At 39.4% G+C, this 12,705-nt stretch overlaps 1 protein-coding gene across 18 annotated transcripts in view; it reads right to left on the reverse strand.

Annotated features, from left to right (window-relative positions):
• Positions 1-12,705, reverse strand: part of PTBP3 (polypyrimidine tract binding protein 3) — a 162,168-nt gene that overhangs the window by 85,473 nt on the left and 63,990 nt on the right. The window lies entirely within an intron of this gene.

Here is a 12,705-nt window from a genome sequence, read left to right on the forward strand (position 1 = left end):
GATATTATCCTGCTTCAAGCACTATCCCTTTGCTACATACCCAATCCTATCTACTAGTCACAGATAAAATGGCACCACATCCTTGAGAATTTTTCTATCCCAAGTGAAAAGGTTCAACTTAATTTTTATCATCTTTCAACATTAAAATGTGTATGGTTCCAGAATGTTAGTTCATTAACATGATATATTCTTCCTGTATGTATAATTATCAATAACATAATTTTGTCAAATATGTACACAAAGTTAGTTCTCAGATACCTTGAGGTCTCTTATTTGTGCCTTATACTAGATTATATTCTTCCAGAGCCTATAGCAGAGTATCAGGTGCAAGATTAACAGCCCTCTGCCTTGGCTAATCAATACAATCGCATGGGCAGCTTGAAAATAAATACTACAGGCTGGGCGCGGTGGCTCACGCCTGTAATCCCAGCACTTTGGGAGGCTGAGGCGGGCAGATCATGAGGTCAGGAGTTCAGGACCAGCCTGACCAATATGGTGAAACCCCGTCTCTACTAAAATTACAAAAATTAGCCAGGTGTGGTGGTGTGCAACTCTAGCCCCAGCTACTCGGAAGGCTGAGGCAGGAGAATCACTTGAACCTGGGAGGCAGAGGTTGCAGTGAGCCAAGATCACACCACTATATTCCAGCCTGGGCGACAGAGTGAGACTCCGTCTCAATCAATCAATCAATACTACAGGCTGGGCACAGTGGCTCACACCTGTAATCCCAGCACTTTGGGAGGCCAAGGCAGGCGGATCACTTGAGGTCGGGAGTTCAAGACCAGCCTGGCCAACACAGTGAAACCCTGTCTCTGCTAAGAATACAAAAATTAGCCAGGTATGGTGGTGCATGCCTGTAATCTCAGCTACTCGGGAGGCTGAGGCACGAGAATCACTTGAACCCAGGAGGCAGAGGTTGCAGTGAGCCGAGATTACACCACTGCACTCCAGCCTGGGCAACAGAGTCAGACTCTGTCTTAGGAGGAAAAAAAAAATGTATCCATTTTTAGTACCAGAGTCCAATTGTACAGAATTGTATGGGACATTTATTAAAGTCTCATTTATGGTTAACCTTTCAGAAAAAGAATAAAGCATGTATCTGCCTATGCATTTGAATTTTTCCTGTGAACACTGTGATGAGATTTGTTTAGAGAAAAAAAAGGAAAAATTTTCACTGTAATCACCTTATTTAAGCATCTTTACCTACTTATCCAGTTATCTCAGAATAAATCTATAAATGTGAAATGGCTGGATCATATTTCATTTTGATAAATCATTCATCTTAATATGAATTTTACAAAGTTATAATATGAATCTATGCTCCGCTCTATTATCCTTTTAACTGATAAGCTTTCTCCATGTTGTTAGTCTGTCATTATTCATTTATTTATTTTTGTGAGACAGAGTCTCGTTCTGTCACTCCGGCTGGACTGCAGTGGGATGATCATAGCTCACTGTAGCCTCAACCTTCCAGGTCAAGCAATCCTCACACCTTGGCCTCCCATGTAGCTAGGACTAGAGGCATGCATCACTTTGCCTGGCTGATTTTTTAATTTTTGTAGACAGAAAAATTTTTTTTATTATACTTTACTCTACTGATTGATCGCTTATTTTTTATTTTTTTGTAGACTCTTGCTATTTTGCCCAGGCTGCATCACAATTATTTTTAGTAGATTATTAAAATTCTATAACAACATCCTTAACTATTCCCCTATTTTAAATTATAGTGTTTTGTCTTTAATATAGCATTTTTTCAGGATAAATATTCAGAAGTGAAACAGACAACTTTTCTTTTTTGAGGAAAAGATAAAACTACAAGAAATCTCAAATTCCTATAGCAAAATGTAGGGTAACTTCGAGTTACTACTGCACTACAGGTGATGACTAAGAAGCATTTTTATTTTTACAGGAGTTTTTCAAATACTGTTAAAATTAGCAAATGACTGCCTTATTTTAATATGGCCCACAGTTTGTGTAGTAAAAAACTTACCTTGTCCAAAGAAAGGTGTGGCTTTTGCCCTTTCCTTCCTAGAGGTAATCTCTAAGTCCTTGAAATATCATGCCTGAAAGGACTTTTTTTTTTTTTTTTTCTGCCTAGTGGCCTTGGGTCACCAGACAGTCATAGGGTAAGGAATAGCCATGCCAGAAAGATCGACAATGTGATTTAGGGTAGGAGCTTTGGGTCACACCTGAAGGGGCTGGAAACTAGACTGAAATCAGCCTCATGAACAATAAATTATTTATGCCTATATAATAGAGTTCCAACAAAAACTGTAAACGCCAAGGCTCCAGTGAGTTTCCCTGGTTGATAATACTCCTTGCCTACTGCCACACACTGATGCTGGGGAAGTAATGTGTCCACTCGACAACAGTACTTCCCAGGACCCTGCCTTAGGCATTTCTTCCCTAGGCTTGATTTTAATCTGCGTCCTTTTCCTCTAGCAAACCATGCTGTGAGTATAAGAGCTTTCAGCCGGGCACGGTGGCTCACGCCTGTAATCTCAGCACTTTGGGAGGCCGAGGGGGGCGGATAATGAGGTCAGGAGATAGAGACCACCCTGGCTGACACGGTGTAACCCCGTCTCTACCAAAAATACAAAAAATGAGCCGGGCGTGGTGACGGACGCCTGTAGTTCCAGCTACTCGGAAGGCTGAGGCAGGAGAATGGCATGATCCCAGGAGGCGGAGCTTGCAGTGAGCCGAGACCGCGCCACTGCACTCCAGCCTGGGCGACAGAGCGAGACTCTGTCTCAAAAAATAAAAATAAAAATAAAAATAAATAAAAAGCTTTCAGTGACTTCTGTGAGTCTTTCTAGCAAATTATTGAACCTGTGGGTAGCTTCGGGAATCCCCTACACTTGCAATTGGTGTCAGATGTAAGGGCAGTCTTGCATGGACCTTGTCTCATAACATCACAGTTGGCCTAATTCTTCACATGGTTAAATAAATATAACAAAATTATTAATTTGCTTAATATTTTTTAAACTTTTTTTTTGAGACAAGGTCTCACTCTGTCGCCCAGGCTGAAGTGCAGTGGCATGATCACAGCTCACTGCAGCCTCAACCTCCTAGGCTCAAGCGATCCTTCCACCTCAGCCTCCTGAGTAGCAGGGACCACAGATGCACACCACCATGCCCAGCTAATTTTTGTATTATTTTGTAGAGATGGGGTTTCACCATGTTGCCCAAGCTGGTCTCCTGGGCTCAAGCTATTTGCCCGCTTCGACCTTCCAAAGTGCTGCGATTAGAGGCCTAAACCACTGTGCCTGGGCAAAAAAAAAAAACACTATTCTTAACCTCTGAATTACCATTGGACTTCCATCTGTAAAGAAAAACAGTAGTCTGAAAATATGATCAAATATTCAAGTACAGAAAAACCAGAAAATTAATTTAAATTTGTATATATATATATATATATTTTTGTTTGTTTGTTTGTTTGTTTGTTTTGAGACAGAGTCTTGCTCTGTCACCCAGGATGCAGTGCAGTGGCGCTACTGGGTTCACTGCAACCTCTGCTTCCTGGGTTCAAGCGATTCTCCTGCCTCAGCCTCCCAAGTAGCTGGGATTACAGGCACACACCACCATGCCCGGCTAATTTTTGTATTTTTAGTAGAGACAGGGTTTTGCCATGTTGGTCAGGCTGGTCTCAAACTCCTGACCTCAGGTGATCCACCCACCTTGGCCTCCCAAAGTGCTGGCCAAATTTGTAGTTAAATGAATGCAACATCTTAACTGTCACATTCAAAATATAAACTCTATTTATAAGGACATGGTGAAAGTTGCAAAGTCTTCAAAATAAACAATTACATTTGATAATTCTACTTCAATTCTATTTCAATGATATTAGGAAGAGCTTTTTGAAAAGAATAAAACATGCCTAAAATAACACATAAGTAAAGGGGACCCTAGTATCAACTGAAGTGTTGGAATTGCTATTTTTATTGTCTTATTACACATCAAGAACAATTAAAATATAAGATATTTGCCAGGCGCGGTGGCTCACGCCTGTAATCCCAGCACTTTGGGAGGCCAAGGTGGGGGGATCACTTGAGCTCAGGAGTTCGAGACCAGCCTGGGCAACAGAATGAGATCCCATCTCTACCAAAAACACAAAAAATTAGCCGGGCATGGTACCACACACCTGTAGTCCCAGCTACTTTGGGGGCTGAGGTGGGAGGATTGATTGAGCCAGGAGGTCGAGGTTCTGTGAGCTAAGATCATGCCACTGCACTCTGGCCTGGGTGACAAAGGGAGACCCTGTCCCAAAATAAAAAATAAAAAAGATAAATAAGATCATAAAGTTTCATTCCGGGAAATGTTTTATCATTCTTTATATAAAATAAACAAGACGTTTCTGAAGCAATTATGACACTTTTAAAAGCTGGTAACTTTCTCCCCCTAATAATTTCAGAACATGAAAAACAAAAGACAAAGAGAACAAAAGAAACTTACATTTGAAAATTAGTCATAAAAAATAATTCTGATAACCACAATTTTCTAGCCAAGTTTTTTCCCAAGAACTCACTTTCAAATTACAGAAAACAAAGGCTTTTTTGATATTATGAAGGCTAAATCCCAAGAGTCACACTACTTTGTAAAACATTGTAAAAGATGAGGAAAACAGAGTTATTAGTTCTGTATTATTACTTTAAACCAACCTTGTCCAACATGCAGCCCATGGGCCACATGCGGCACAGGATGGCTTTGAGTGCCGCCCAACGCAAATTCATAAACTTTCTTAAAACATTAAGATATTTTTGGTGTTTTGTTGTTGTTAGCTCATCAGCTATCGTTAGTGTTAGTGTATTTTATGTGTGGCATAAGACAATTCTTCTTCCAGTATGGCCCAGGGAAGCCCTGCTTTAAACATTCCCTTTTTTTGAGACAGGGTATTGCTCCATCACCCAGGATGGAGTACAGCGGCATAATCAGGGCTCAAGCCATCCTCCTGCCTTGGTCTCCTGTGTAGCTAGGACTAGAGGCATGCACCACCATGCCCAGCTAATTTTTTTTATTTTTTGTAGGGATGTGGTCTCACTTCGTTGTCCAGGCTGGTCTCAAACTCCTGGGCTCAAGTGATCCTCTGGCCTAGGATTCCCAAAGTGTTGGAATTACAGGCTTGAGCCACTGCACCTGGCCAATGTTAAACCTACTCCTTTTATTTAAAAAAAAAAAAAAAAAAAAAAAAAAAAAACTTTTCTTTCCTAGACATAAATTCTTTCTCCTGAAAACATATCACTGCATTTAATTACAGACTACTTCAATATAAAATGAAAAGGATTTCTCAAAATTATACTTAATATTTATATCCTAAGTGTCTCAAATGCAATTTTCCGTAAGGTTTGACTGCTATGATAACAGATTACGGTTTAAGGGAAGAATGGAAGACAATCAAGCAGAATGAAGACATTTTTAAAAGGAAGGAAAACTTGGACAAGTGAATGCAGACGACCAAAAGAATAAAAGACTGTACCACGGGTAAACAAATTAATGTATACAAAAGAAGGCCTTAACTAGCAAAATGTGAAGACATAGGGGAGTGGCGGGGCAGGTGCTGGCTGCAAACAACACTGTGTGTTTCTAAGGAGACTGTCCTTAGAAACACACAGCAAATTTACATAAGTCCAGCAGTTGCTCTGTGGACTTGTCAGCTCTCTGGCTAAGTCAGCACACAATCAGCTTTACTGGCTCAAGTATCAATTACTGAAGCTCTCGCCTGCTGATGCATAATTCACGGGGCTAACAAAGCAAAGAAATACTGTAATTAAACAGCACAAATAAGTGTTTCATCATCAAATTTGATAGGAATTGGTTTTATTTAGCATTAAAGACGTTGAAGTAACATGTACGGATGATTCTGAAAATAAACCATTAATTCATGGTTAAACTTCATGTATCTAAAATGCATATGAAATTCAAGAAAAGATATTTGTTTTAATCTATCAAGATACTACATGACTATACAAAAGAGGCTATCAAAAAACTACTTCATAATTTTCCAGAATCCTAGACCTTTTTTTTTTAAATTAATAGCATCTTAAATACTGAAATATCCAAGTCCTACCTTTTTCTAACAGATAGTCTAGTGACCCCGTGTGAACACTTCCCAGGACAGAAAACTCATACTGGTTCTGCTCTAAGTTTTTCCAAAAACAGAAATAAAAGTGATATTGATATGGAGTTTCACTATACCATATGCATGTATTGATTATGGTCTCCTGATTACTTACCTTTATATACTCCTCTACAGAACCTACTACAATGTTTCATATATAATCGATGTTCAAAACTTTTTTTCTTAAAAAATAAGTAACAGGCCGGGTGTGGTGGCTCACTCCTGTAATCCCAGCACTTTTGGGAGGCCAAGGCGGGCGGACTGCCTGAGGTCAGGAGTTTGAGACCAGTCTGGCCAACATGATGAAACCCCGTCTCTATTAAAAATACAAAAAAATTAGCTGGGCGTGGTGGTGGACGCCTGTAATCCCAGCTACTCGAGTAGCTGAGGCAGGGGAATTGCTTCAACCAGGGAGGTGGAGGCTGCAGTGAGCTGAGATTGTGCCACTGCATTCCAGCCTGGGCGACAGAGAGAGACTCCGTCTCAAAAAAAAAAAAAAAAATTGAGTAATAACTATAGAGATAAAGGAATAAACAATAGTCAATAGGGGGTCTGCATTCATTGCGTGGCACTACCTGAAACTCCAAGGGTTTTGTTTTGTTTTAGACATTTAGCCTTTTAACATTCACCTTTCCATAGCCTCCTGTAACTATAAACACATCTAAACCTAAAGACATTTGCTATTGGTAACTCTACTGACTGACCCATTTGAATGAGATCACATTCTCACATACACTGTGGCCCCATCAACACCTTTCATCTACTGAGTGTGATTATCCCTAAATATTCTCTAAAGAATAGTTACCAAATTGTTCATTTGTGACATTTTTATTCCAAGACTGCCACTGTTGAGATTCTAGGGCAGTGGGAACAAAAAAGAATAGTTAAAGGTAGAGGAAATTTTTTCAATGAGCAGCTGTGGCAATGTTTAAAAACTACTGTTTGGACACAGTTTCAATAAAATGATTCTGACTGCCTTCATTTTATATGGACATCTTAACAACAAAATATCAACACTTTTTTTGAAGACAGCATATTGAATATTTTCTTTAATGCCTGCAAGTAATTCCTCTAAAAAGCCTTCTAATTCATGATATCCAATCAAAAAGACATTCATTTGTATATTTATTCAGTTCTTACCATACAGGTATAGCCCATACATATTGAATTCAGTATGTATAAATGTGTTAGCAATAATATTCATTCATTCAACAAATTCGATAAATATTTACTGAGCCACCAGCTATGTGCCAGGCCTTTAACCACTGGGGAAGATTAGGGAACAAACGAAATCCCTGCCCTTACCTTAATGGAGCTTACAATCTTGCACAAAGAAACATAATAATCAAAGTAAGTAAATTATGTATTATGTCCTAAAGTCTTAAGTGCTTCTTAAAAAGTAGGAGAAAAAGCATCAGGAGTGCCAGAGGTGAAAAGAATTTCAATTTCAAATAGGACAGCAAGGTACGACTTAAGAGAAAAAGGCATTTAACCAAAGTCTTACAAGTAGTAAGGAGTAAGCATGTAGATATCTGAGGGAAGAATGTTGTAGGTAGAGGAAACAAAATGCCTTGCATGTTCTGGAAAAACAGTAAGGAGGCAATTATGGCTGAAAGAGAATGAGCAAGGGGAGAAGTAAAGAGATTAGAGAGAAGGTGTGTCATAGCATGCAGGGCCTTAACGGCCATTCTAAAGAACCTTACTCTGAGCGAAATGAGGGAAAGAGAGTTTTGAACAGGAGTGAAAAGATCAATTTGCTTTTTTAAAGGATCACTCTGGCTGCTGTGTTAAGAACAGTCTTTAACAAGACAAAGAGGGAAGGACTCTGGTTAGGAAGCTGTGATGATAATCCGGATTAAGGGCCAGGGCAGTTGCAGTTATGGTGGAAAATGTGTTTTTTTTTTTTTAATATACGATTGGCCCACCGTATCCATGGGTTCTGCATCTGTAGATTCAAACAATCACAGATTGAAAATATTTGGAAAAAAACTGCATCTGTATAAACATGTACAGACTTTTTTTGTCATTATTCCCTAAGCAATACAGCATAACAACTATTTACATAGCATTAAATCGTATTATAAATAACCTAGAGATGACTTAAAGTATTCAGAAGGAACTGAGTTAAGTTATATGGAAATACAGTTGACCCTGAACAACATGAGTGAGTTTGAACTGCCCGAGTCCAAATGAGGATCAAAAATACAGTATTCCCAGGATGCAAAACCCAGTTATATGAAGGTTGACTTTTTATACATGCAGGCAGACTTCACCTATACAGAGCCAACTGGAGAACTTGAGTATGCATGGATTTTGGCCCCCCCTAGATACTGAGGGACAACTGTACTCTGAAACAGATTTGCTAGCCAGGCACAGTGTATCAGGCCTGTAATCCCAGCAACTTGGGAGGATGAGGCAGGATAGCTTAAGGCCAGGAGTCTGAGACCAGCCTGGACAAGAGCTAAACCCTGTCTCTGAAAAAAAACGGTTTTTTAATTAGCCGGGTGTGGTGACTTATGCCTGTAGTCCCAGCTACATGGGAGGCTGAAGCAAGAGGATCATCAGAGCCCAGGACGTTGGAGGCTGCAGTGCTCTAGGATCGTGCCTGTGAGTAGCCACTGCACTTCAGCCTGGGCAACATAGTGAAATCCCACATCTTTATTTTAAAAAGAAAAAAAGAGTCAATGTAATGAAACAAAAAGACTGAGGACCTATTTCAGATTAATTTCCTGATTTTGTTAACTGTATCACAGTAATGAATGGGAAATTCTTTGTTTATAGGTAATACACTCAAATATTTAGGGGTTAAAGAATAAACTCTAGTCTCAAAGCATCTTCCAACAAATCATTGATTACGAAAAGAAAATTGGTAACTTTACAATGGAAAAGCCTGGCAGAAAATCACCTTAACCAAGTGATTAAGACATAAAAAAAAGTGGGGAAGCTAAGGCAGGAGGATCACTTAAGGCCACGAGTTCGAGACCAGGCTGGGCAACATAGTGAGACCCTGTATCTACAAAACAACAATAACAATAACAACAACAATTCACTGAGCGTGGTGGTGCATGCCTGTGGTCCCCAGCTGTTCAAGGACTGAGACAAGAGGATCACTTGAGCCCAGGAGATCAAGGCTGCTGTGATCTGTGTTCATACCACTGAATGAACGAGACCTTGTTTTTTTTTTTGTTTTTTTTTTTTAAAAAAAAAAAAAAGGACGTGTGTGTGTGCGTTTACATCTATAGAAAGACTATATATGGAAGGGGAAATGGTAAGACAATCGGGGAAATGATAAATGAAAAATGGTGCAAATATGAACTGGGTAAAGGATATACGAGTTCTTTGTACTCTTCTTATAATCTTTCTGTAACTTTATATTAAAATAAAATTTTAAAAAATAATAATAAATCAATGAAATTCACCACATTAGTACACTAAGAAAAAATAAACTGTTAAAAAGCAGGCCGGGCACAGTGGCTCATGCATGTAATCCCAGAACTTTGGGAGGCCAAGGTGGGCACATCACTTGAGTCCAGGAGTTGGAGACCAGCCCAGGCAACATGGCGAAACCCTGTTTCTACAAAATACACAAAAATTAGCCAGGTATGGTGGTGCATGCCTGTATTCCCAGCTATTCAGGAGGCTGAAGTGGGAAGACTGCTTGAGCTCAGGAGGTCAAGGCTGCAGTGAGCTGAAATTGTGCCACTGCACTCCAGACTGGGTGACAGCAAGACACTGTTTCAAAGAAAAAAAAAAGGAAAAGGAAAATCAAAGTACATATGTGGTATGTACACACTATGGTAAGCTATCAGATAAAGATAACATGATCATATAAGAAAGTCTTACCCATAGTAATTTACAACAAAAAAGTACTTGCACTTACATAATCTTACTCTGACATTAATAAGACTTTTTTCTTTTAAGAGACAGGGTCTCGCTCTGTCACCCGGGCTGGACTGCAGTGATGTAATCACAGCTCACAGTAACCTCCTCTCATGGGCTCGAATAATCCTCCTACCTCAACCTACCAAAGCACTGGGACTACAGGTGTGTGCCACTACACCCAGCCTAATAAGTTATTTTTATATTCATTTCTTCAATATTTATTCACCATTGTGAGCAGGCAGCTGTATTGTTTATCCATGCCTGGATAACTAATTACTCCAAAATTTAGCAGCTGGAAAAAACAAATATTTTGTAACTTAATTTGTGGAAGTCAGAAACCTGGACATGGCTTAGCTAGGTCCTCTGGAGAGTCTATCACAGACCGGAATCATCTCAAGGCTTAACAGAACACATGAAGGATCCACTTCCACACTTACTCAAGTGGTTGCTGGCAGGACTCAGTTTGTACATGGGCCTGTCCATAAGATAACTTACAACATGGCAGCTCACTTTTATCAGAGTGAGCAAAAAGAAAGCAAAGCCCAAGTCTTTTGGAAGCTAATCCTTTTAAGTAGATTTAAGTCCACCATCTCGCCATTTGTTGTCTTTGGCTCAACTGTTCTTTAACCTATCTTAAACATAGATAGATTAAAAGAAAAGGAAAAGGAATAGGAAAAAAATACAGTCAGCTCTCCATACCGATGAATTCATCCATGGATGAACCAACTGACGACGGAAAACATTTGGGAAAAAAAGTTCCACAAAGTTACAAAAAGCAAAAGTTGAATTTGCCATGTGCCAAATACTACCTTAAATGAATCCACGCAAATGAGGTTATGTGTAAGCACTGTATTAGGCATTCTAAGTAATCTAGAGGTGATTTAAAGTATACAGCAGGATGTGCTATAAGTTATATGCAAATACTGCTCTCTTTATATAAAAGACTTCAGCCTCTGCATCCACAAATTTTGGGGTCCTTGGGAAGTACTGGACCAATCTCCCAAGGACAAGAGGGACAAATGTATACCACACAAATACCAATCATAAGAAAGCTGGAATGGCTACATTAACATTAGACAAAGTACACTTCAAGATAGGAACTATTACTGAGATAAAAATGTATATTTCACAAGGAGACAAAAGGTCAACTCATCAAGATATAACACTCCTAAATGTGAATACATATAGTAACTGAGCTTCAAAACACGTAAAGCAAAAACTGACAGAACAGCTGGGTGCAGTAGCTCGTGCCTCTAATCCCAGCACTTTGAGAGGTCAAAGTGGGAGGTTCGCTTGAGCCCAGAAGTTTGAGATCGGCCTGCACAACAGAACAAGGACTCATCTCTACAAAAATTTAAAAATTAGCCAGAGACAGCGGTGTGTACCTTCAGTCCCAGCCACTCAGGAGGCGGAGGCGGGAGGATCCCTTAAGCCTAGAAGAGAGCCTGGGCTAGAGAGCGAGACCCTGTCTCAAACAAAACAAAACAAAACAAAAAAACAAAAAAGAAACACCTCACAGAACTACAAAAAGAAATACACAAATCTACAATTGCGGACAGAAATTTCAATATTTCTCTTCTCTTTAACAGAATAAAAAATCAGTAAAGATACAGAAAACCTGAATTTCAACCAGTCTGTCCCACTGACATTTTTTTTTTTTTTTTTGAGACGGACTCTTGCTCTGTCACCCAGGCTGGAGTGCAGTGGCGCGATCTCGGCTCACTGCAAGCTCCGCCTCCCGGGTTTACACCATTCTCCTGCCTCAGCCTCCCAAGTAGCTGGGACTACAGGCACACGCTGCCATGCCCGGCTAATTTTTTGTATTTTTAGTAGAGACGGAGTGTCACCGTGTTAGCCAGGATGGTCTCGATCTCCTGACCTCGTGATCCGCCCACCTTGGCCTCCCAAAGTGCTGGGATTACAGGCATGAGCCACCGCCCCCGGCCCCCACTGACATTTAAAAGGCACTACACCCAACAAAATTAGACTACACATTCAAGTGTACACAGAACATTCATAAAGACAAACCATGTTTAACATAAAACAAACTTCTGGATACATAAAGGGACCGAAATGATACAAAACATCTTATCTGATCAAAGTAGTAAGCTTTAAAAAAAAAAAAATCAGTAACAAAAAGATATCTGGAAAACCAAAATATTTATAAATTAAACACATTTATAAAAAATCATGGGCCAAAAGAGAAGTCCCAAGGAAGAACACAAAATATTTTGAACTAAGTGAAAATTAAAGCCCAGCCATATCAAAAGTTGTGGGATGCAGCTAAAGAAATAGAAAATTTGTACTCAGGAGGCTGAGGAGGAGGATCACTTGAGCCCAGTTCAAGGCTGTAGTGAGCTATGATAGCGCCACTGTACTTCAGCCTGGGTGACAAGGTGAAATCCTGTCTCAAAAAATAAAAATAAAAAACTATTTTAAAAAAGAAAGAAATAGAACATCTGAATAACATGGTTTTAAAAACTTAATTCATAATTTAAAACCTTCCAACAAAGAAAATACACTCACAAATAGCTACACTGATGAATTCTATCAAAGAGTTTTAAAAGAAATAATACCAATCTTACACAAATTATTTCAAACAGAAGGGAACACTTTCCAACTCATGTCAGTTGTGGTCATCTAACAGTTCCTTGTCTTTCAAGGAATTTGTACATTTGGTCTAAGTTACTCATTATTTCCTTCCTTCT

The sequence above is a fragment of the Homo sapiens genome, chromosome 9 (genome assembly GCF_000001405.40).
Source record: "Homo sapiens chromosome 9, GRCh38.p14 Primary Assembly".
Classification (NCBI taxonomy): domain Eukaryota; kingdom Metazoa; phylum Chordata; class Mammalia; order Primates; family Hominidae; genus Homo; species Homo sapiens.